The sequence below is a fragment of the Homo sapiens genome, chromosome 12 (assembly GCF_000001405.40).
Source record: "Homo sapiens chromosome 12, GRCh38.p14 Primary Assembly".
NCBI lineage: Eukaryota > Metazoa > Chordata > Mammalia > Primates > Hominidae > Homo > Homo sapiens.
In genome coordinates this window covers 110,299,413-110,325,811 of record NC_000012.12, presented here as the reverse complement: position 1 = coordinate 110,325,811, position 26,399 = coordinate 110,299,413, and the positions used below count along the sequence as shown (strand labels likewise).

The 26,399-nt window shown below is 41.8% G+C and overlaps 1 protein-coding gene across 6 annotated transcripts in view, besides 2 other annotated features; it reads right to left on the bottom strand.

Moving 5' to 3' along the window:
- Positions 1–26,399, bottom strand: part of ATP2A2 (ATPase sarcoplasmic/endoplasmic reticulum Ca2+ transporting 2) — a 70,478-nt gene that overhangs the window by 25,282 nt on the left and 18,797 nt on the right. For all 6 annotated transcript variants that reach the window (NM_001413015.1, NM_170665.4, XM_011538402.4 and 3 more), the window contains one exon: positions 2,740–2,820. In NM_001413015.1, coding sequence (NP_001399944.1) covers positions 2,740–2,820 — 81 coding nt within the window. The remainder of the gene's footprint in view (positions 1–2,739; positions 2,821–26,399) is intronic.
- Positions 4,894–5,188: a silencer, noted in NCBI's record as "tiled region #3729; HepG2 Repressive DNase matched - State 14:Gen5', and K562 Repressive non-DNase unmatched - State 17:Gen3'". NCBI's record gives its function as "represses a minimal TATA promoter and a strong SV40 promoter by Sharpr-MPRA in HepG2 and K562 cells {active_cell/tissue: HepG2 | K562}" and the evidence as "EXISTENCE:reporter gene assay evidence [ECO:0000049][PMID:27701403]".
- Positions 11,100–11,179: an enhancer, noted in NCBI's record as "active region_6999". NCBI's record gives its function as "activates an Ori minimal core promoter by ATAC-STARR-seq in GM12878 lymphoblastoid cells {active_cell/tissue: GM12878}" and the evidence as "EXISTENCE:reporter gene assay evidence [ECO:0000049][PMID:35858748]".

The following is a 26,399-nucleotide window of genomic DNA, read 5'->3' as shown; positions in this document are numbered from 1 at the left end:
AGGTTTTACCATGTTGCCCAGGGTGGTCTCCAACTCGTGGACTCAAACAATTTGCTCATCTTGTCCTCCTCAAAGTGCTGGAATTACAGGTGTGGGCCACATCTGGCTATGCTCTGGAGTAGCAATTAGCAAGTGTACTGGAAAGATCGCATGGTAAATAAAGAACTACTTTTTTTTTTTTTTTGAGACGGAGTCTTGCTTTGTTGCCCAGGCTGGAGTCCAGTGGCACAATCTTGGCTTACTGAAACCTCTGCCTCCCGGGCAATTTTCCAGCCTCAGCCTCCCAAGTAGCTGGGATTACAGGCATGTGCCACCATGCCCAGCTAATTTTTGTATTTTTAGTAGAGACAGGTTTTGCTATGTTGGCCAAGGCTGGTCTCAAACTCCTGACCTGAGGTGATCCCCCCACCTCGGCCTCCCAAAGTGCTGGGATTACAGGCATGAGACACCATGCCCAGCTGATTTCAATTTAAAAATCATGTCATAGATATATAATTAGGGTCAATCTGAGTAAAATATGTCTCTAAATGTTACTTTAAGTTACAGGTAGCAAACTTCACTCTCAATATTTGACCAAAAAAATTGGTTCCACAAGTTAGCCAAAAACTACATTATGATTTCTTAATGAAAGAAAGATAATATTCGAGAACCTCTATGAAGTTTAAATTTTTTTTTAAACTTTTAAAGTTTTTTATTATAGGCTGGGTGTGATGACTTATGTCTGTAATCCCAGCACTTTGGGGGTTTGAGGCGGGCGATCACTTCAGGTCAGGAGGTCAAGACCAGCCTGGACAACATGGCAAAACCCTATCTCTACTAAAAATACAATTAGCCAGGTGTGGTGGTGCATGCCTGTAATTTCAGCTACTAGGGAGGCTGAGGCATGAGAATTACTTGAACCCCGGAAGCAGAGGCTGCACTGAGCTGAGATCGCGCCACTGGGCCACAGAGTGCAACTCTGTCTTTAAAAAAAAAAAAAAAAAGATTTTCATTATAGAGACTATAACTGCTCTCTCAAACTCTTGGCCACAAGTGATCCTACTGCCGCAGCCTCCCAAAGTCCTGAAATTACAGGCATGAGCCACCGTGACCAGCCTAAAAAGTTTTTAAATGCCTGTAATCCCAGCACTTTGGGAGGCCAAGGCAGGCGGATCATGAGATCAGGAGTTCGAGACCAGCCTGACCAACACAGTGAAACCCCGTCTCTACTAAAAATACAAAAATAAGCTGGGCATGGTGGCGCACGCCTATAATCCCAGACACTCAGGTGGCTGAGGCAGGAGAACAGCTTGAATCCAGGAGGCAGAGGTTGCAGTGAGCTGAGATCACAGCACTACACTATAGCCTGGGCAACAGAGCGAGACTCCGCCTCAAAAAAAAAAAAATTTTTTTTAAATGGCAACTACGTCTTTAGGGCACACTATGAGAATTTCACACATATAACCCAACCATTTCTCCAACATTTTATGGCTTAATTGGCCTCCAGCTTGTTGTTGCTAATGAGAATTTTAATAAGTAAGCTATTTATAAAGAAACAATACCAAAAAAAATAGAGCCAGGTTACTCATATAACTGTCTCCATGACATTAGCTGCTTTTCAAAATTGATAATCAGATAAATCTTGAGAGCCTTTAGACTTTATGTTTACTATTTAATCCAAGTTAGCATTGTATTTAAAGTTAATTCTTCTGACAAACTTACTTCCAGTTAGTATGAACCCTCCACCCTAGATTGTGCTTTTATCACACAAAAACGGGAAAATGTTTCAAACAATTGTGCAAATTCCAGGTAGTACAATTTTCATCTCTTATGGGGGCTAACTTTTGTTCATTGTGTATTTGGATACTGTAAAGATTGATACAACATTAGCACTCCTCCAGTGAAAAAAATTACAGCACTGGAGTCTATTTTTCTTGCCTGGAAAAAGGACATCGAATAAGTAATTTGCTTTCCACAAAACAGACAACAATTCAACCTTAAGATTTACCTATGGTAACGAACAAATTACAACTTTTTTTTGGAGACAGAGTCTTGCTCTGTCCCCCAGGCTGGAGTGCAGAGGCACAAGCATGGCTCACTGTAGCCTTGACCTAGGCACAAGTGATCTTTTCACCCAGCCTCCTGAGTAGCTGGGATTACAGGCCTGGCTAATTTTTGTATTTTTTGTAGATACGGGGTTTTGCCATGTTGCCCAGGCCCGTCTTTAACTCCTGGGCTCAAGCCATCTGCCCGCCTCAGTCTCCCAAAGTGTTGGAATTACATGCATGAGCCACCGTGCCCAGCCATTTTGTTTTGTTTTTAAATCATGCCTTTAAAACCGTATCGGCAGCCAGGTGCAGTGGTTCACGCCTGTAATCCCAGCACTTTGGGAGGCCGAGGCAGGTGGATTACCTGAGGTCAGGAGTTCAAGACCAGCCTGACCAACAAGGTAAAACCCCATCTCTAATAAAAATACAAAAATTAGCTGGGCATGGTGGCAGGAGCCTGTAGTCCCAGCTACTTGGGAGGCTGAGACAGGAGAACTGCCTGAACCTGAGAGGCGGAGGCTGCAGTGAGCCGCAATCACGCCACTGCACTCCAGCCTGGGCAATGGAGCGAGACTAAAGCACTAAGAAATAAGTATCTTAGAGAGGATTAAGATGGGATACCATAAAGGGACAGTGAGGCAAGAGCCAACTCTATTGGCATGGAATATGCGAAGGTCTTCAGAAATTCAATGACTTAATATATCATATTTACCTGTGAGAATTGACTGGTCAACTCTTAGTGTGGTAGATTTGATGGAAGTTAACCTTATATCAGCAGGAACTTTGTCACCAACTAATTAGGAGAAAAAAAAGGCGGCTGAAATGAGCAACTTTTAAAACTATGTTATCTAAAGATGAATTTGTCTCCAAATCAATTTTTAAAGAAAATAAATGATCTGCATATAACACAAATACATAAAATTCAGTTAAAACAAGCAAAGTGATCAACCTATCTTGGAGTCATAAAAAACTTTAGATGGATTCAAGATTTGAATTAGGAAGGAAGAGAATGAGGCTTAAGGAAACCTAACTACATTATTCTAAGAAATTTTGCTCTGTATCTTCAGACAGGCCTTCAAGCTTTCACTTTAAAGAATACTTTCCTACTTAGCAGTAAGTAAAAGTCTTACTACATATACACAAGGCACAGCAAAGAGAATAAAGTTGTATATGCCATGATTCATTCCATCAAAAAAGCTAAATTATTGTGAACAGGAAGCAAATGGCCCCCTTTAAAAAGATATTCAATTAACGAAACACATGGCAAATGCAAAATAAAACTACACAGTAACACCACTTTTTTTTTTTGAGACAGGGCCTTGCTCTGTCACCCAGGATGTAGAGATCAGTGAGGCAATCACAGCTCACTGCACCCTTGACCTCCCACTTCAGCTTCCCAAGCAGAAGGACTACAGGTGCACACCACCTGGGAAACAAAGCTAGTCTCCATCTCAAAAAGTAAAATAAAATAAAATGTTTATTTCCAAGTTAATCTTAGCTCTTTCACTGTTTCAAACCCTTTGATATGCTCGTATAACATGTAATTAATTCATACTAAAATGACAACTTCCAATGGTATAAAGAAACACCTCTGGGAAGGTGTAGCAAACTAGTAACACTGCACAGCTGGGGCATATATCCTTTGATACTTTTTGAAATATCAATTAATGGGAGGCTGAGGCAGGAGAATGGCGTGAACCCGGGAGGCGGAGCTTGCAGTGAGCTGAGATCGCGCCACTGCACTCCAGCCTGGGCGGCAGAGCGAGACTCCGTCTCATAAAAAAAAAAAGAAATATCAATTAAATGAATAATAAACCTCTTGCATAACCTGAAGATCTTTAAGTCAACTGAGTCTTCTTTCCTAGGCCAACAAGTTACTTTAATAGCTCTTAAAAGGCCCAAATCTCAGCCCCTTTCCTTGATGTGTGTACAAAGTGAAATTCCACAACATAGCCCAAGTAACAGACAAAGCCATGCACCTTGAGAATAGTGCCCAGCCCTCTGCTGGTATTCAAATACTGCTGAATGAGTGGCACAATCACACAAAGCAGCTGGACATTAAAACAGCTGTCCGTTAATCCCAACACTTTGGGAGGCTGAGGCGGGAGGATCACTCGAAGCTAGGAGTTCGAGACCAGTCTGGCCAACATGGCGAAAACCTGTCTCTACTAAAAATATAAAAAATTAGCTGGGAGGAATGGTAGTGTGCCTGTAGTCTCAGCTACTCAGACGGTTGCAGTGAGCCGAGTTCACACCACTACATTCCAGCTTTGGAGACAGAGCGAGACTTTGTCTCAAAACAACAATAATAACAACAAAACAGCTGTCCGTGATTTTCTGAAAGATAATTAAGGTGGTTTGTAAGTCTTACGAAAGGGCAGCTACAAATTACATAAGAAAATTCTCCCATACTTGCAGATGGCATTTTAAAATCAAATCATTTTTCAGACTTACTCTCTATACTGAATTGCATGTTACCAGTCATATACAAAATGGCAAAATAGCACTCCTGTCCAAGAAGTAAACATTGAATTTCTTATTTTTTATTTTCTTTTCAGAGACAGAGTCTTGCTCTATCACCCAGACTGGAGTGCAGTGGCATGATCTCAGCTCACTGCAACCTCCACCTCCCGGGTTCAAGCGATTCCCCTGCCTCAGCCTCCTGATCAACCGGGACTACAGGCGTGCGCCACCACAACCAGCCTCATTTTTGTATTTTTAGTAGAGATAGCGTTTCACTATGTTAGCCAGACTGATCTCAAACTCCTGACCTCAGGCATCCACCTGCCTTGCCTCCCAAAATGCTGAGATTACAGGCGTGAGCCACTGCACCCAGCCAACACTGAACTTCTTAAACCTTCAAATTAGTTCTGATTTTTCTCTACTTCGGAGCTTAAGTTCAGGGAGAATATGGTTTACTTTTTTAATTTGAGTGCATAAAAACAATGCTATAGCCTAAGTAAGCAATGTGGTCACAAGGCGGCACAGTTTGTCAATATATAATCTCAACAGGCAAAGATCACCCTTGCATTTGACTGCAGGGACACACAAGCTAAGGTGAAATTCCTGCTGGAAATGCTTGTGCAATGAACAGCAATATTCAGACTGAATCAACGAGAACCTTTCATTTTAATATAATTCTGCTCTAACTACATTGAAGAGAGTACATCTAACAGATGATTTAAGACAACAAAGTAACTATATTCTAAACTTTAGTGGTCTTTAACAGCTAACATGCCCTATACTGCACTATTTCTGCCTGTCATGATTAACCTGATCCTACATGCCCTCGAACATTTCAAAAAGAGGACAAGTTCAATGATGAATATTATGACCCTAAATGGAAAATTTATTTCCAAATGTTCCTTTGGTGTCTGAGGATTTGATTTACGTCAATGTCATGATCCTATGGAGTAGAAGACTTCTGTCCAATGTGAGATAGCGGTCGTCAATCTATAAGCACTATTTTACTTCTGCATTGTAACTGCTGAACAGACTTAAACAATTCAATATATAAACCCTAGCTCATACTCTCATATACTTGACAAATTTTAAAAGGTCAACAAATCTAATATTTAAATTGAGTACAACCTACAAGAGGATACAAAAGCAATGTTTTGGCATGTGTTTTGCTGTGTTTCAGTGGAAGCTCAGAGGATTTGAAATAAATAGAAAATGTATTTTTCAGGTAAGAAATACCAAGGTTAAATTTCCTGGGTAACACTGCCAACATATTACAGGTTGAGTATCCCTTACCCAAAATGCTTGGAAACAGTATTTTAAAATTAAAATTTGGAGTGTTTGATTTATATTCTTACTGTTGAACATCTCTACACAAAAAACTCAAAATCTGAAATGCTCCAGTAAGTATTTCCCTTGAGCATCATGTTGGTGCTCAAAAAGTTTCTGATCTTTGAGCTTTTCAGATTAGGGATATCCAATCGTTATCTAACAGTATTAGGTAGGACCAATACTAAATATACATATTTAGTATATATACACACTGTATTTAGTAATGGTCCTACCTAACACTAATAGATACACCTACAGGACCAACAGGTAGTACAGGACTATAGGTCTTACCTATTGGTCCTATAGTATAAATATACAATATGTGTAGTATAGATTTATTATATATAGTATTAATATATAATATAGTATATATTATGTATATGAAAGATTATATTTATACTGGCATTATAAGGAAACCAACATGTACTCTTTCCCTTTATAAAGGTCTACTAAAATATATGAAAGGTGTTTCTTTGCTGTGCAGAAACTGTATTGATACACATTTAACTTTTGGCCAAATACTGAGGAATACCTTAAATGTCAAATGCTAGAGGAACAAATGTCAAATGCCTGGGAAACCCTTAAATACTGACCACAGCTGTTCTAAATGTTTCCATCTTACAACTTCCATTCTAATCAAGTGGCAATTAAATATTTAGAAACGACAAGAAGAGTTATCTGGAGATCTTTTACAGATTCTTTAAGAGTATGATTAAATGCATTTGGAGTGGGGTCTAGGAATCCACTTTTTTTTTTTTTTTTTTTTTTTCATTTTTTATTCTTACAGACAGGGTCTCACTCTGTCACCCAGGCTGGAGTATACTGGCGTGATCACGGTGAACTACAGCCTTGAACTCCTGGGCTCAAGTCATCTTCCCACCTCAGCCTCCCAAGTAACTAGGACTACGGGCATGTGCCATTGCACCAGGTTAATTTTAAAATTAAGAATCCATATTTTTAAAAAGGTTTTACAAATACACTAGAAAAATTAATGCAAGAGAAAAAATGCAATAGCTAGAGTCATGGATCCTATGAACAGCTTTTCTGTTGTGCTGTTTCTCATCTATCAGGCACACCAACTCGAAGCTAAAAAGCTCCAAAGCCTCCCAACACTTGGGAAATATGCTACCTTAGAGTTTCTATGTTTAATTGGCTTCTATTAGAAACTGATCTTTGTAGAAAGATATTGAAGAAACATAAATCCAAAAAACCTGCCATAGACTGGGCACGGTGGCTTATGCCTGTAATCCCAGAACTTTGGGAAGCTGAGACAGGCAGATCACCTGAGGTCAGGAGTTCAAGACCAGCCTGGCCAAGATGATGAAACCCCATCTCTACTAAAAATACAAAAATTAGCCGGGTGTGGTGGTGGGTGCCTGCAATCCCAGCTACTTGGGAGGCTAAAGCAAGACTATCGCTTGAGCCTTGGAGGCGGAGGTTGCAGTGAGCCGAAGTTGCGCCACTCCAGCCTGGGTGAAAGGGCGAGACTCCATCTCAAAAACAAACCAACGAACCTGCCATATTCTAGTATTTTCTTAGCTAGAGGGACCATCACATCATCTTGACCAACCAATGTCCTCTTCATTTTATGCACAGGAACTCAGGCTAGGAAGTAAAAGTAGCCTTCTCTAAGGAAGCTCAATTAATGAAAACCTTTGTTTAACTTGCTGTGTGACTGTTACATTCCTTTTGTTGATATCAGAGTCAATTTAGGGTTGACTCTATTAGGAAAACAGGTTCTTAGAGTTAAAAGGTTCATGAAAGTAAAGGTCCACCGAATACTTTTCAAGTGAAGACACAACAATTTCCCTTTGTCTGGAGAGGCTTCTGTGAATTTCAGACAAAGGATTTTGTGCATGAAGAGCAGGCTAGGCTGTTCCGATGATCACATCCTGTAACATTTCCCTGGTGAGGCATGTCAATGCTCTTAGGGCAAGTGGTAGTGGAAAATTCTTACTCTTGCCAAAGGGATGCTCTGCAATTTTTTCTTCCAAATGTTTTTCTCTGACTCTTTGGGTGGAGGCAGGTACAATAAAAGAATAAACTCTGAATTACCTTCCATTTAACATCTGACACCTTTCAAATTCAGCTCTTGAAAATCCACAGCTCTTTAATTTGCTATTACAATAAAGATTTCCAATCAGAACAAAATCCTCACAGTATACTTGCACAAGAGTTCAAGTAAGAGTTCATTAAATTATCAGTTTGCCACGTTTTAGAACTCCATGCAAACGTTTATAAGCCATGATACTGAAACATTATTTGTACCACTTATGTCAAATATAAATACTGATGGTTAAAACTACCATTATTCAAGCCGGGCATGGTGGCTCACACCTGTAATCCCAGCACTTTGGGAGGCCAAGGCGGACGAAGCATTTGAGGTCAGGAGTTTGAGACCAGCCTGGCCAACATGGTGAAACTCCGTCTCTACTAAAAATATAAAAATTAGCCCGGCATGGTGGCGGGCGCCTATAATTGTAGCTACTTGGAGGCTGAGGTTGCAGTGAGCTGAGATTGCGCCACTGCACTCCAGCCTGGGTGACACAGTGAGACTCCATCTCAAAAAAAACCCAAACAAACCAAAAATCAGCATTATTTTTTTAAAAAATCCTTTTTATTAATCAATTGTATTATGCATTTTAAAAACCTAATTTATTGTGGCAAACACCAGTTATTAAAATCTTTTATAAGAAAAACACTATTTAAGACCAGAAATTACCTTCTAAATGCCACTGTTGTTTTTGAATCTAAATGGCTCCTAGGAAACACAAGGCATAACAGATTTATCTTAAACTACTTAAACATTTAACTGTGACTCAAAATTTTCACCGTGTTTCCAATTTGAGTCATAAATTTTGTAGTTTAGCAGAGACTGAATGAAATTCTTCATTTGAGAAGCTCTACTTGACTACTTTAAACTACTTCCAGGCCTCACGGTGAACAGGGAAGGAACATTACACAATACCCCATTATACTACTGTGGTTTGCTCCCAATCTGTTTCTTAGACAGTACTGTCTTTAAAATGGCAAACGTGATCTCCTCCTGTTTTAAAATCTTTCAACAGCTTCTTTGGCATCCCAACCCGGGCTTATAACAGCCTCCATGACCCAAGTGCTGTTTGCCTGTCACCCTCTCACCTCCCTCTGAGCATCACACACTATGCTCTTCAGTTCCTCTAACTTGTTTCTGGGCCTTCACATACCCTTTCTTCTCCCATAAATAGTAAGGCTTTCCTCTAACTCCCAGATTAGGCTGGCATCCCTCACTGTGTGCCCACAGAGCATCCTGTCCTTTCCTTACACTCGCATGGTCTTCATGAATCTTCCCCACTAAAACCAAAAGCTCCATAAAGGCAGAGTCACTCAGACATCACTGATTTCCTAGCCCTACCACTATACCTGGCACACAGTGGGTGTCAAATAAAATATCTGTCAATGAATAAAGCATTTGGCACACATATTTCCTTTAGTATACATGTAGCAAAAGACTTCTAATTACCAAGTTGAAGAACATCACGAAGCTAGAAACAATAAAAAATCAGGGTCCAAAGAGATAACAGCTTTGGTTAAGCTAAATGAGGTTCAATAATGGTAGTTGCTTAAATTCTACGTTTAGACTAAAACCAAAATAATCTATGCCAGTAAAAGTCTAGAAATTTAGGAATGGGGGGATGGGAAGAACACCTAAGAAAGACTGTAGTTTTAGCTGGTAGAGTAATTAAGACTGCCAAAGAAATTTCCATAGACTGTCAGAAGACAAAAAATGTCTAGAATGACAACCAGACTCCATTTACATAACTGCATTCAATCTGGGTACCAAAGAGAACTACCAAGATGGTAAAGCGTTTGAAACAAATGCTAAGACTAACTTGGAAATAAACATTTTATTTTATTTTACTTTTTGAGATGGAGACTAGCTTTGTTGCCCAGGCTGGAGTGCAGTGGCATGATCTCGGCTCACTGTAACCTCCACCTCCCAGGTTCAGGCGATTTTCCTGCCTCAGCCTCCCGAGTAGCTGGGATTACAGGTGCCCACCACCACACCAAGCTAATTTTGTTTGTTTGCTCTGTCACCCAGGCTGGAGCACAGTGGCGTGATCTCAGCTCACTGCAACCCCCGCCTCCTGGGTTCAAGCAATTCTCCTGCCTCCCTCCCAAATACCTGGGACTACAGGCGTGTGCCGATGCGGCCGGCTAAGTTTTGTATTTTTAGTAGAGATGGGGTTTCACCACGTTGGCCAGGCTGGTCTCGAACTCCCAACCTCAAGTGATCCACCCACCTAGGCCTCCCAAAGTGCTGGGATTACAGGCGTGAGCCACCGCACCCGGCCAAAAATAAAAATTTTAGGATACGCTATACTGCTAACATTTGACAGTCCTAGTACTGCCACAAACTGCCACATGCTCCTGGATAAGTTACAAACTCTGAGTTTTAGTCTTCTCATCCCCTAAAATAAGGTTTCATAAGCTCCCCTTCAGATCTAAACTGGTGATAAATCAGATTTCTATGTGGCTCCAAATTAAAAAAGCTAACATACACAACAGACAAAATATATTTTAGCTCATAAGGAATATTTTATAATGAACTGACTAAAAAAATGACACTGATCATTAAGCAAGTTTCCAGTTACTAGAGTTATGGGGGTAGAAAGGTAACCAATTCATTAGATGTTGCAAAGGCAACCATGCACTAAGCAATGTTAGAGTACTCCAGCCTACCTACCAACAGAGATTTTTATCACAAAAGAAAAATGCACGTTTAAAAGGTCAAACACCATTCTTCTTCCCCTCTTTCAACAGATATATATACAGTTAACAGTATATTGCCGGGCGCGATGGCTCACGCCTGTAATCCCAGCACTCTGGAAGGCTGAGGCAGGCGGATCACAAGGTCAGGAGAACGAGATCATCCTGGCTAACATGGTGAAACCCCGTCTCTACTAAAAATACAAAAAATTAGCCGGGCATGGTGGCGGGTGCCTGTGGTCCCAGCTACTTGGGAGGCTGAGGCAGGAGAATGGCATGAACCCAGGAGGCGGAGCTTGCAGTGAGCTGAGATCATGCCACTGCACTCCAGCCTGGGCGACAGAGCGAGACTCCATTTCCAAAAAAAAAAAAAAAAAGTGTATCTTCTGGATTTTCTGGACATCTCTTTATGTACAACATTCACTAAAACAATATTAGACCTTTTATATTTATACATACCTGTCTCATTTTAAAAAGTGGCTGTATAGTAATAATAAGCAATGAAATTTTGAGACTATTATTTCTAGACCAGGTACTGCTGGAACAGCTTCACAGGTTACTAATTCAATCTTCACAACTCTAAGGAGGGATCTATTATCTTTACTCCCTCCCTGTTTATAGATGAGGAAAATGAGACACTAAAAGGTACTTGTTCAAGGCCACAGTATTTCACAACCATACCATGAACTAAATGAATCATCCTCTATTTTTATGGCTATCTAGTTATTTCTAACATTTCCTTTTACGGTGTTACAGGGTTAACATCTTCGTCTGTTATCTTTTACTTTTGCATACAAATGTATACTCCCACCAAGTTTATGTCCCTCCTGTTTCCCCATTCTCTCAATCTTGTATTTTTCTGGCACTGATAATGCCAAGCCCTTTGTTTTACTTTTTTTTTTTTTTTCTTTTTTTGAGACAGAGTTTCACTCTTGCTGCCCAGGCTGGAGTGCAATGGCACGATATCAGCTCAGCACAAACTCTGCCTCCTGGGTTCAAGTGATTCTCTTGCCTCAGCCTCCCAAGTAGTTGGGATTACAGGCAAGCGCTACCATGCCCAGCTAATTTTGAATTTTTAGTAGAGACAGCGTTTCTCCATGTTGGTCAGGCTAGTCTCGAACTCCTGACCTCAGGTGATCTGCCCGCCTCGGCCTCCAAAGTGCTGGGATTACAGGCATGAGCCAGTGTACCCGGCCACCAAGCCCTTGGTTTTCAAAAGTTCCATTATCGGCCGGGCACAGTGGCTCATGCCTGTAATCCCAACACTTTGGGAGGCTGACGGTGGGTGGATCTCTTGAGGTCAGGAGTTCAAGACCAGCCTGGCCAACATGGTGAAACCCCGTCTCTACTAAAAAAAAAATACAAAATAGCCAGGTGGGGTGGTGCACACCTGTAATTCCAGCTAATGGGAAAGCTGAGGCAGAAGAATCGCTTGAACCCAGGAGGCAGAGGTTCCAGTGGTCCAAGATTGCACCACTGCTCTCCAGCCTGGGTGACAGAGCCGAGACTTTGTCTCAAAAAAAAAAAAAAAAAAAAAAGTTCCATTATCTTTTAATATAAAAGTTGGTCACAGTTAAATCTGCCCATCTAGGTGGTTTGGTGTTAATGCTTAGGAAAGGTGGTTCCCATGGCCAGCAGCGGTGGCTCACACCTGTAATCCCAGCACTTTGGGAGGCCAAGGCAGATGAAGCACTTGAGGTCAGGAGTTTGAGACCAGCCTGGCTAACATGGTGAAACCCCATCTCTACTAAAATATACAAAAAATTAGCCGGACATTGTGGTGGGTGCCTGTAGTCACAGCTAACGGGGAGGCTGAGGCAGGAGAATGGCGTGAACCCAGGAGGCGGAGCTTGCAGTGAGCCGAGATCATTCCACTGCACTCCAGCCTGGGCGACAGAGCGACTCCGTATCAAAAAAAAAAAAAAAAAAAAAAGGAAAGGTGGTTCCCAAACCACATGGTTTCTTCTCCTTTTTCCAAAATCTTCATCTCAGTAGCAAGAATGAAAAGGTTGGCACTTCCTGGTACTGTGACTACCACTGAATCATGGGGAGTAGAGAGGAGGTGATTACAGGAAATCAGGAAGGAAATGCCAGCCCCATGAAATCAGGTCAGGCTTCAAGATCAACTGGCCTATCATGGTCTGATGGTTGAGGAGAACTCTCATTTCTCACAGTTCTTAATGTCTTAGCTATTCTGACAGTGCTCAGGGGCTCTCAAACTCAAAAACTCTCTATGCTGATTTTTGTTTTAGACTATTTTGCTCTTCTGCTTATCCGTTTTCTAGAGTAATAATTTATACCTTGGCTTTGGAAACAGAGGTATAGCTTCCAGGATTTACAGAACAACTAAAGCAATTTTTCTTTTTTGTTTTGTTTTCTTTTTTTTTTTTTTTTGCAACAGAGTCTCGCTCTGTCCCTCAGGGTGGAATGCAGTTGTGCAATCTAGGCTCATTGCAGCTTCCATCTCCTGGGTTTAGGCGATTCTCGTGCCTCAGCCACCCAAGTAGCTAGGATTACAGGCATCCACCACCACACCCGGGTAATTTTTGTATTTTTAGTGAAGATGGGATTTCACAGTGTTGGCCAGGCTGGTCTCGAACTCCTGGGCTCAAATGATCCGCCTGCCTTGGCCTCCTAAATTGCTGGGATTACAGGCATGAGCCACCATGCCCGGCCTGTACTTCAGTTTTCAAAACTAAATAGCTAGAATCCTGAGGTGGACTTTCTGAGGAGGAGGACAAATGAACCTCCTGAAGTTGCACACAAGATTTTCAATATATGTTTTTGGGGAAGAAAGTCCATAAATTTCATTAATTCTCAAAGGGACTGTGATCTAGAAATGATTAAGATCTGCTCTAGAGCCTTGCTACTCAAATTATTGACCTGGGAGCTTATTAGAAATGCAGAATAATCAGGCCCCATTTCAGACTGAACCAATCAAAACATACATTTTAACAACATCCCCAGGTAATTCCTGCACACATGAAGTTAGAGAAACATTGATCTAAGCAGTGTGCAAAATCTTAAGGCTCCCCACCCCCCGAACTTTTTTTGGGAGACAGAGTTTTACTCTGTCTCACTCTGTCACCCAGGCTGGAGCATACTGGCACGATCTGAGCTCACTGCAGCCCTGACCTCCCAGGCTCAACTGATCCTCCCACCTCAGCCTCCCGAGAAGCAGGGACTACAGGAGCACGTCAACATGCCCAGCAAATTTTCATTTTTTATTTTTTTAGAGACGGGGTCTTTCCATGTTGCCCAGGCTGGTCTCAAACTCCTGAGCTCAAGTGAACCTCGTCTCAGCCTCCCAAAGTGCTGGCATGAGCCATGGCTCCCAGCCTCACTATGCAAGTTTTTAAAACTTTTTTTGTAAAGACAAGGTCTCAATATGTTGCCCAGGCTGGTCTCAAACTCCTGGGCTCAAGTGATCCTCCTGCCATGGCCTCCCAAAATGCTAGGATTGCAGGGATAAGCCACTGCACCCAGCCAACACCTTTTTTTTTTTTTTTTTAAACAATTCTCTTTTCATATTTTACAAAAGACTTTGGTACAGAGATTGTTGTGGCCCACAAAACCCAAAATATTAGCTGGACGCTATAGCTCACACTTATAATCCCAGCGTTTTTTTTTTTTTTTTTTTTTTTTTTTGAGATGGAGTCTCGCTCTGTCCCCCAGGCTGGAGTGCAGTGGCGCGATCTTGGCTCACTGCAACCTCTGCCCCCTGGGTTCAAGTAATTCTCCTGCCTCGGCCTACCGAGTAGCTGGGATTACGGGTTACGGGTGCCTGCCACTGCACCCGGCTAATTTTTGTATTTTTAGTAGAGACGGGGGTTTCACCATCTTGGCCAGGCTGGTCTTGAACTCCTGATCTTGTGATCCACCCGCCTCCGCCTCCCAAAGACCTGGGATTACAGGCTAAGGCAGGAGGATCACTTGAGGCCAGGAGTTCAAGACCAGCCTGAGTGACACAGTGAGACCTCATGTCTATAAACAAACGAACCAACCAACCAACCCACAAAGATAGTATGCCAACTCCTCTGCTCTACAGCAGACTGACTACTCTGTTTTGTGTTAAAGAGCATTTAATGTTTGCTAAATGTTTAAAGCCAGTCAATTCCAACCCCAACAGCTTTCTAAAAGCAAAAAAAAGTCCACATGGACTCATGGCCATACTATCTAAATCACACTTTTTAGAGCAAGAAAGCTCCTTGAAACAGTACTCCAATTACCTAATTCTGCAGAGGTTAATGTACATAGTCCAATGTCATGCAGAACTAGGATCATAATCCAGGTTCTTATATGAATCCACTCATCTATTTCACAACTCTGCCTTTTACTCAACTGCTTCAAAAGCAGTTTATACCTGCTACTAAATCTCAGTACTGCATGTTAACTGTCTGAAGTAAAAGTTTCCTTCCTTTAAATTGAAAGTTTTCTTCCTTTAAATTGCTGTCAAGTTTAAGAATTATTCTTTTTATTCCCGAGTAAATCTTGAAATTGCTGGCACCCTGTTGGCTATTAAGTCTTCATTTTAGGAAATAAAATTATCAATTTCTGTACAAGTGCTAAAGCAAATGCAATTTTAAGATTGTGTTGCTTCCACTACTTAAATCTTAAAAGATGATTCGCTCCAGAGTATATACTACAAGACAGAAGTCATCTGAGAATATTTATTTCCTGGTGCTATTCATCAACCCTGGGTTACCAAGATACATAAAGTTTGTTTTAAACAACCCTGAAAACAGTGTTCTTAAGAAGTCAATAAATAACCCCTGCGGCATATACTAGAAGCCCCAAAATTCTAAAACTAAGACTTCTAGCTGGGAATGGTGGCTCATGCCTGTAATCCCAGCACTTTGGGAGGCCAAGGGAAGAGGATCCCTTGAGCCCAGGAGTTTGAGACTAGGCTGGGTAATACAGGGAGACCTTGTCTCAAAAAAACATCCCACAAAACCATGGCCGGGCACGGTGGTTCATGCCTGTAATCCCAGCACTTTGGGAGGCCAAGGGAGGCAGATCACTTGAGGTCAGGAGTTCGAGACCAGCCTGGCCAACATGGTAAAATCCCGTCTCTACTTTAAAAAAAAAAAAGGAAAAAGAAAAAAAGAAAACAGAAATGACTTAGGCTATTATAGCTTGATTCACTTTCATGTCAGCAGATAATACAGAAAGCTTAAAAACAATGACGTTCATTTCTTATAAGATTATGTACAACTTCACTACTTTTGGTTTCCATCCATCCGGAGAAATATTTTCTTGGCCTTAAGATAATGTAGAATTACTGTGGCTTCTTAAGAGGTGAACATGTGGGTCACTTTCTCTTTTTTTTTTTTTTGAGTCAGGGTCTCACTCTGTTGCCCACGCTGGAGTGCAGTGGCTTAATTTCAGCTCACTGCCACAGCCTCGACCTCCTGGGCTCAGGTGATCCTCCCACCTCAGCTTTTCAAGTCGTTGGGACTACAGGTACGCACCACCACGCCTAGCTAATTTTTGTATTTTTTGTAGGGATGGGGTTTTACTATGTTGCCCAGGCTGGTCTCAAACTCCTGGACTCAAGTGATCTGCATGCCTTGGCCTCCCCCAAAAGTGCTGAGATTACAGGCATGAGCCACTGAGCACAGCCTATGTGCGGGTTATTTTCTCCATGTTTTTATTTGCCATATCAATTTCATTTGGCTCTTGTGTTCTAGATACTTAAGACTCACATTAGCATTTGCTATGTATGCTTACCCAGTTTCTCTTTGGAATGATTAGCTGGTATAGCAACATATAAAATTTAGTTTCCTGGCTGGGCATGGTGGCTCACACCTGTAATTCCAGCACTTTGGGAGGCTGAGGCGGGCGGATCACTTGAGGCCAGGAGTTCGAGACCAGCCTGGCCAACATGGTGAAACCCTGTCTCTACTAAAAATACAAAAATTAGCCGGGTGTGGTGGCGGGCACTTGTAATCCCTGCTACTAGGGAGGCTGAGGCAGGAGAATCGCTTGAACCCAGGAGGCGGAGGTTGCAGTGAGCTGAGATCACGCCCTTGCACTCCTGCCTGGGCGACAGAGTGAGATTCCATCTCAAAAAAAAAAAAAAAAAAAAAAAAAAAAAAAAAAATTAGTTTCCTTAAACTCTCTCTCCATATCTCCCTCAAAAAACCACCTATTCCAGCTTAGTCTTTGAAAAGTTCAGCCAGAACCATCCTACCAGATATCTTCCAAAAGCTGACAAAGAATTTTAAAGTCAGGAGATGACCCTTACATTCCAAACAGTGACTACAAAAAGGTCTGTTCCTTTCTGCAAATATCAAAATCGTTAAGTCAGTACTTTTTTATTTTCAGCTTCGAATTAGTTTACAACACTCTCCAGTTTTCCAACACATCTGAAAAACCCCTTCACATCCAATTTCATAATGTAAATGAAAATATAAAAGTCACCATGTCTAAAAGCACAATTTATGCCATTTAATCTTTCAGGCTACGCAAATAGTACCTTCGACTGACAAGAAAAAATTCAGAATTAAAGTTCACTCTATAGTTTTCACAAAACTGAATTATCAGGCTAAATGCTAGATTGCACAGTCAATTTGATTACTAATTCTAAAAGAGGTGGAAGTTTAAAAGGCTCAACGTGTATAGTCTTAATAAAATAAATACCTATTTATCTGGCCCAGGTTATACAGTCACGGTATGCTTTTCCAAAATGTTCCATATAATAGTTGCAAATGCCTTAGAATTATATCTTACCCAATTCAATGACCTGCTGGTCCTAGTAACCCAGCAAACTATCATTTCTGATTTGCATATAAGTTTACAAACACCATGAAAGGTCACCAGAGTATACTGACAACCTAAATATTACAGCTGTAACTAGGCTTCCTCAACATGATAAAGGGCACCCGCCTATGAGACCCACACCTATGTCACACTTCACTGTGAAGGACTGGATGCTTTCCCCTACGATCAGTAAGACAAGGATGTCTGCTCTTGGTACTTCAACGTTGTATTGGAGATTCTAACCAGGGCAATTAGGCAAGAAATAAAGGGCATCCAGACTAGAAAGAAGTAAAAACATTTTCATTTGCAAATGCATGATCTTGTATATAGAAAATCTTAAGGAACCCATAAAAACTATTAAAACTAACTAATGAGTTCAGCAAGATGGCAAACTACAAGATCAATACGTAAAAAACTATTTCTACACGCTAGCAAAGAACAATCTGAAAATGAAATTGAAAAAAGAATTCCTAACTCAAGGCAAATTAAAGACTTAAATGTAAGGCCTCAAACTGTAAATATCCTAGAAGAAAACCTAGGAAATACTCTTCTCAACACTGCCCTAAGCAAAGAATTTATGACTAAGCCTCAAAAGCAAATGCAACAAATAACTTGACAATTGGGACCTAGTTAAACGAAAGAGTTTCTGCACAGCAGAAGAAATCTATCAACAGAGTAAACTGACAACCTACAGAATTGGAGAAAATAATTGCAAACTATGCACTCAACAAAGGACTAATATCCAGAATCTATAAGGAACTTAAATCCACACACAAACACACACACAAAATCACTGTTGAAAAGTGGGCAAAGGGTATGAAAAGACACTTCTCAAAAGACAACAATCAAGTAGTCAACATAGGAAAAAATGCTCAACATCACTAGTAGAGAGATGCAAATCAAAACCACAATGAGATGTCATCTCACACCAGTCAGAGTGACTATTATTGCTGGGCACGGTGGCTCACGCTTGTAATCCCAGCACTTTGGGAAGCTGAGGTGGGAGGATCACTGGAGCCCAGGAATTCAACTACTAGCCAGGGCAACATAGTAAGACCTCATCTCTACGAAAAAATTTAAAAATGAGCCTGTCATAGTGGTGTGTGCCTACAGTCCCAGCTAACCTGGAAGGCTCAGGTGGGAGGGTCACTAGAGCCTGGAAAGCCATGGCTCAATGAGCTATAATCATGCCACTGTGTTCCAGCCTGGGCAACAGACTGAGATCCTGCCTCAAAAAAAAAGAAAAAAAAAAAAAAAAAGGTGGTGGGGCTGGGGGGAACACTTATACACTGCTGGCAAGAATGTAAACTAGTTCAGCCCCCGTGGAAAGCTGTTTGGAGATTTCTCAAGAAACTAAAAACAGAATGACCATTCAACCCAGCGATCCCATTACTGGGTATATATCCCAAGAAAAAGAAATTGTGGCCGGGCGTGGTGGCTCACACCTGTAATCTCAGCACTTTCGGAGGCCAAGGTGGGTGAATCACTTGAGCCCAGGAATTCGAGACCAGCCTGGGCAACATGGTGAGACCTTATCTGTACGAAAAATACAAAAATTAGTTGGGCGTGGTGGGCATCTGTAGTTCCAGCTACAAGGAGGCTGAGGTGGGAGGATGGCCTGAACTCACAAGGAGGCTGAAGTGGGAGGATGGCTTGAGCTTGGGAGGTGGAGGTTGCACTGAGCCAAAATCGCACCACTGCACTCCAGCCTGGGCGACAGAGTGAGACCCTATCTCAAAAATAAATGTGGTATATATACACCATGTGATACTACGCAGCCATGCAAAAGAATGAAATCATGTCTTTTCCAGCAAAATGGATGCAGCCAGAGACTATTATCCTAAGTGAGTTAACCCAGAAAACCAAATACTGTCTGTTCTCACTTGTAAGTAGGAGCTAAACACTGAGTACACATAGCCATTAAGATGGGAACAATAAACACTGGGCACTCCAAAAAGTGGGAGGGAAAGAGGGGCGAGGGCTGAAAAACTATCTGTGAAGTACTATACTCATCATCTATACTCATCATCTGGATGACAGGATCAGCAGAAGCCCAAACCTCAGCATCACACATTAAATCCACATAACAAACCTGCACATGTACCTTGAATCTAAAAATTTTAATTAAAAATAAATATCACTAGGCCGGGCGCGGTGGCTCACGCCTGTAATCCCAGTACTTTGGGAGGCCAAGGCGGGTGGATCACGAGGTCAGGAGATCGAGACCATCCTGGCTAACATGGTGAAACCCTGTCTCTACTAAAAATACAAAAACATTAGCTGGGCATGGTGGCAGGCGCCTCTGGTCCCAGCTACTGGGGAGGCTGAGGCAGGAGAATGGCGTGAACCCGAGAGGCGGAGCTTGCAGTGAGCAGAGATCGTGCCACTGCACTCCAGCCTGTCATAGCGGTGAAAGAGCGAGACTCCGTCTCAAAAATAAATAAATAAATAAATATCACCAATAGGCCAATTTCAAGTTACAAAAAATTATTCCAATTACAAATATTCCCCCCGCCAAAAATGCAATAACAAAAGAAGCACAAGACTTGAACACTGACAACCAGTGTTGAAAGAAATGACAGACCTTAAAAAAAAAAAACAAAAAAAAAACAGACATCCCTATGCTCATGGATCCAAAGACTTGATATTACGACCATATTTCCCAAACTCATCTATAGATACAACACAATTCTTACTGAAAATACCAGCTTGCTTTCTGCAGAAATTGACAAGCAACTCTTAAAAATTTATATGTAAATGTAAGGAACCCAGAATGCCCAAAATTATCTTGAACAAAGTTACACTCCCAAGTTCCCAATTTCAAAAAATACAAAACGACAGCTAGCTATCAAGACAGTATGGTACTGACCTAAAGACAGAGATCAATGGAGTAAGAATAGAGTCTAGAAATACATTCTTGCATTTGTAAATTAATTTTTCACAAAGGTTGCAGGACAAATTAGTGAAGAAATCTTTTCAACAAATGGTGCTGAGACAACTAAATATCCACATGCAAAAGAAAGCAGCTGGATCTCCTACCTCACACCATAGTTTTTGCTGTTGTTGCTGTTTTTAAAGAGGCAAGGTCTTGCTTTGTTGCCTAGGGTGGAGGACAGTGGCAGGATCATAGTAGCTCACTGCAGCCTCCACTCTTGGGCTCAAGTCATCTTCGTACCTCTGCCTCCTGAGTAGTGAGACTACAGGCCTGTACCACCTTGCCTGGCTAATTTAAAAGTGTTTTTTTCCTAGGCTGGGCATGGTGGCTCTTGCCTATAATCGCAGCACTTTGAGAGGCTGAGGCAGGCGGATCATTTGAAGTCAGGAGTTCAAGACCAGCCTGGCCAAAACGGTGAAACCCCGTTTCTACTAAAAATACAAAAATTAGCTGAGTGTGGTGGTGTGCACCTGTAATCCCAGCTACTCGGGAGACTGAGGCGGGAGAATCGCTTGAACCCAGGAGGCGGAGGTTGCACTGAGCCGAGATCATGCCACTCGCTGCACTCCAGCCTGGACAACAGAGCAAGACTCCGTCTCAAAAAGAAAAAAAAAAGTGGTTTTTCCTGCCTCAGCCTCCCAAAGTGCTGGGATCATATAGGTATGAGCCACGACGCCTGGATCATATATACTGGCTAATATATAAAGTCTTTGTGACCTTCAATTGGCAACAGTTTCTTAGACATCACACCAAAAGCACAAGCAACAACAATGTATAAGTGGACTTTATCATATTAAAAACTTGTATGTTACAAAGTATGCCATCAAGAAAGTGAAAAAAAGGAATCCCTATAGAATGGGGAAAAAATTTTGCTAATCACACCTCATAAGGCAGGATATGTAAAGAATTCTTATACCTCAACATTAAAAAGACAAATAACCTAATTTAAACAGGCATTTCTCCAAAGAAAACACACCGATGGACAATAGCCACATGAAAAGATGCCCAACATCATTAAGAAATTAGGGAAACGGACGTCAAAACCACAATGATACTCACTTCCTGGGTAAAACTTTAAAACGATAGACAATGACATGTCTTGACAAGGATGTAGAGAAACTGGAACTTGTATACATTGTTGGTGGGAATGTAGAACAATATCACCACCATTCTGAAAGACAGTTTGGTAGCTGCTCAAAATGTTAAGTATAGAGTCACTATAGGCCCCATAATTCCATGCTTAGGTACATACCTAACAGAGAGAAAATGTTATGTTCACACAAAAATTAGTACAAGCATGTATGTACAAGTTATAGCACTATTCATTACTCATAATAGACCAAAACTGGAAACAACCCAAATGTCCATCAACTAATAAACATTATTCAGCAGTAAGGAATGAAATACATGCTATATTCATGAACGAAATGTAACACTATGCTAAGAGAAAGCCAGTCACCAAGATTGACTCCATTTATATGCAATATCCAGAAAAACAGACAGTAATCCACAAAACAGATAATAAACTGTGGTTGTCAGGAACTGGTGGGAGGAAAACAGGGCAACAACTGCTAATGGGTATGGGTTTTTCTGAGGGTGATGAAAATGTTCTGGAATTAAGATAATAATGAGGATCACACAGACCTTGAATATACTAATAATCTGGCATTCAATAATTGTATTGAAGGCCAGGTGCAGTGGCTCACGCCTGTAATCCCAGCACTTTGGGAGGCTGAGGCAGGTGGATCGCTTGAGGCCAGAAATTCAAGACTTGCCGGGCCAACATGGCCAAACTCTGCCTCTACTAAAAATACAAAAATATTAGCCAGGCGTGGCTGGGCGCGGTGGCTCATGCCTGTAATCAATCCCAGCACTTTGGGAGGCCGAGGAGGATGGATCACGAGGTCAGGGGCTTGAGACCATCCTGGCCAACACGGTGAAACCCCGTCTCTACTAAAAAATACAAAAATTAGCTGGGCGTGGTGGTACGTGCCTATAATCTCAGCTACTCGGGAGGCTGAGGCAGGAGAATCGCTTGAACCAGGGAGTCGGAGGTTGCAGTGAGCCAAGATCATGCCACTGCACTCCAGCCTGGCAACAGAGCGAGACTCGTCTCAAAACAAACAAACAAACAAACAAACAAAAAAGCAAGCAAGCCAGGCATAATGGCCCAAGCCTGTAATCCCAGCTACTCGGGAGACTGAAGCAGGAGAATCACTTGAAACTGGGAGGTACACAGGTTGCAGTGAGCCGAGATCACACCACTGCACTAGAGCCTGGGTGACAGAACAAGACTCTGTCTGTATAATATTATAATAATAATTGTATTGAACACACACATACACTTCAACTGTTTGTTCTGCACAGCAACTATGTTTACATTAGCTGAGCCTATCATATACTTCTGATTTCAAATTTCATTCATAGAGAACTTACGATAACGTTACAACAGTCAATATGACAGTTCTGTCCTTAAGGTGCTCACTGCCTAGTAGTATGACAACAGTATTTAATAAAATGCCCACATACATTCTAAACCTAGATGTCTGTTCTGCATTACTCAGTTAAAAAGGTCACAATTTAAGACGAAAGCAAGCAGCACTTAAGAGCCCAATGTCTCACACAGCTGGGCTTAACTAAAATAATAATAGGCCAGGCACGGTGGCTCACGCCTGTAATCCCAGCACTTTGGGAGGCCGAGGTGAGTGGGTCACGAGGCCAGGAGTTTGAGACCAGCCTGGCCAATATGGCAAAACCCCATCTCTACTACAACTACAAAAATCAGCTGGGTGTGGTGGTGCATGCTGGTGAGCCCAGCTAATTGGGAGGCTGAGGCACAAGAATCACTTGAACAGGCAGGCAGAGGTTGCAGTGAACCGAGATCACGCTACTGCATTCCAGCCTGCACAGCAGAGTGAGACCCTGTCTCAAAATAGTAATAATAATAATAATAATAATAATAGTAATAAAAATAAAAATTAAAGAAAAACAGAGCCCAACGTCAAAGCAATATATACGCTTTTTAGCAATTACCATACTGTGGGGGAAGAGCTGGGGAAAAAAAGTGGTAAATAACTACCAGAATCAGCACTATCTATGAAGGATTCAGAAACAGGTGAAAGGAAAATGGATTTAAATTTGTACTCCACTTTATAGTAGTAGTATATTCACCTAAGGGATTTAAACTCAGGTTTTTTTTGAATATTAAATTCATTGTCTTTTGAATATTCAAATAAAGGGAATGGTTGCCAGGGGCCAGGGAAGAGGGGAACTGGAAGTCAGTGTTTAAGGTGTACATTTCAGTTAGGGAAGATAAAAGTTCTGGATGGTGACAGTCCCAAAACAATGTGAATGTACTTAATGCCACAGAACTGCACGCTTAAAAATGGTTAAAATGGGTAAGTTTATAATATGTATACTTTACCACAATATAAATAAGGAAAATCCCATTAGACTGAAAATCTTAAGTCACATACACTATAGATCAAACATTATTTGTCCTTTCTAAACTATCAAATGCAACAACAAAACTATATTACAATATAGAAAATGAAATTTCAGTGTGAGAAAGCGAGATAGGTCAGGGTAATAATCAAAGCTTCACCACCATAAGATCAGTGCATTGAGCAAATTAATAAACTCTATAAAATTTGCCTAACCTTCCAAAAAAAGGTGACTTTGGTGGTACTGAAAACTGAAAAAAAGGCCTGGATGTCTGCAACATGAAGGAGCAGCACAAGATGAAATCATAGAAGAAAGCAGGAGGTACATACACACAATGCAAGTTTATCAGGTCAGAGAATTTTGTATTTTAAGTGCAATGGGGAAGTCCCTTAAGGGTTTTTTAGCAGATGAATAAATAACACAACCTTTAAGAAACCACTCTGGCACTTGTGTGGAGAATGGACTGGAGGAAGACAACAAAGGAAGCCAGAGCCTAGTTAGGAGATGATGACAGCTGCGGTGTGAGATGATGGCTAGACTAGTGTGCTGACCAAGGAAACGGAGTTCACGAACTTGGGTGTGTTCTGGAGACAGAATCAGTGGCCTTACGGACAAATCAGAGGATAAGAGGGGGGAAAAAATCAAGATGACTTCCAAGTTTCTCACAGTTAATTAGGTTAGAGTGTCTTACAAAAGACGGGAAGGACTGGCAAGAATCAGGATTCAAAGATACAGAGAAACCAGAATCACCAACTGAAGAGAAGCTGGCTTTTGTCTCTTTCTTCAAAAAGGATGGTGCTTTGAGGTATCACAGTTGTAGTTTCCTCTGAAGCTGTCTACCATTGCCATCTACTGATGCAAACTAAGGATAAAGGCTTTGGGGGTAATTTCTCTAAGGCTTCAAGTAGACTCAACACACTAAAACAGCCCAACAAGGCAGAGCACAGTGGCTCACACCTGTAAATCCCAGAACTTTGGGAGGCCAAGGCAAGAGGATCACTTGAGGCCAGGAGTTTGAGACCAGCCTAGGCAACATAGCTAGACTCTGTCTCTATTTTTTTAAAAAAATTAAACAAGAAGAAGCTGGAGAAACTGTAAGCATAAAATCAAACAGAATCTCATACACATATTTAGGTGATGTCATCTACAACCTCACCCACCACATATATTTGTGGAAAAACAATCTCCTTTCCAATGTTTCCTTCTGTAGGTAGTAGAGTACCATCATCACACCCAGTCACGTAAACTAGAAATCTTGCCAGTATCTTTGATTTACACACTCTCCTATCTATTATCAAAATCTGTTGCTTTGAGCCAGGTACAGTGGCTCACACCTGTAATTACAACACTTTGGAAGGCCAAGGCAGGAGGAGGAGGATCGCTTGAGCCCAGAAGTTCAAGACCAGCCTGGACAACAAAGCAAGACCCCATCTTTACTTTAAAAAAAAAAAAAAAAAAAGGCCGGGCATGGTGGCTCACACCTGTAAGTAATCCCAGCACTTTGGGAGGCTGAGGCGGGAGGATCACGAGGTCATCCTGGCTAACACAGTGAAACCCTGTCTCTACTAAAAATACAAAAAATTAGCTGGGAGTGTTGGTGGGCACCTGCAGTCACAGCTACTGGGGAGGCTGAGGCAGGAGAATGGCGTAAACCTGGGAGGCGAAGCTTGCAGTGGGCCGCAATCGTGCCACTGCACTCCAGCCTGGGCGACAGTTCAAGATTCCGTCTTTAAAAAAAAAAAAAAAAAAAAGCTGGGCATGGTGTCATGTGCCTGTATTACCAGCTACTCAGGAGGCTGAGGCAGGAGGACCCCCTTGAAGCCAAGGAGTTCGAGGTCGCAGTGATCACACTACTCCACTGTAGCCTGGACAAGAGAGCAAGCCCCTGTCTCCAAGTTAAAAAAAAAAAAAAAAAAAAGAGAGAGCGAGAAAGAAGGAAAAGAGGGAGGACAGAAGGAGGGGAGGGGAGGGGAGGGGAGGGGAGGGAAAGGGGGAGGAAGGAAGGAAGGACAGACGGACGGACAGACTGACGGAAGGAGCTGCTTTAGGCCGTGCGTGGTGGCTCACTCCTGTAATCCCAGCACTTTGGGAGGCTGAGGCGGGCGGACCACCTGAGGTCGGGAGTTCGAGATCAGCCTGACCAACATGGAGAAACCCCACATCTACTAAAAATACAAAATTAGCTGGGCATGATGGCGCATGCCTGTAATCCCAGCTACTTGGGAGGCTGAGGCAGGACTGCCTGAGCCCAGGAGTTTGAGAGACAAGCCTGAGCAACATGGCAAGACCCATCTCTACAAAAAAAATACAAAACTTAGCCAGGTACATGGTGGCTCATGCCTGTGATCCCAGTTTTTCAGGAGACTGAGGTGGGAGAATCACTTGAGCCCAGGAGGTCAATGCTGCAGTGAGCCGTGATGGTGCCATTGCACTCCAGCCTGGGCAACAAGAGCGAAACTCCATCTCAAAACAAAACAAAACAAATCTGCTGTTTTGTAACTAAGTCAGAGGCTCACTCTTTGAACTACTCACGATCAGAACTCTGTACCCAATGGAGATTCAGAGTTAATATTCTAGGTTGAGACCTGCCAAAAACTTTTTTAAAAAGAGTGCCCCCAGATGATTGTGATGTGCACTCCTGCTTAAGAGCCACTATTCATGAACTCAAAAATCTTTCCTTCATTATTCTT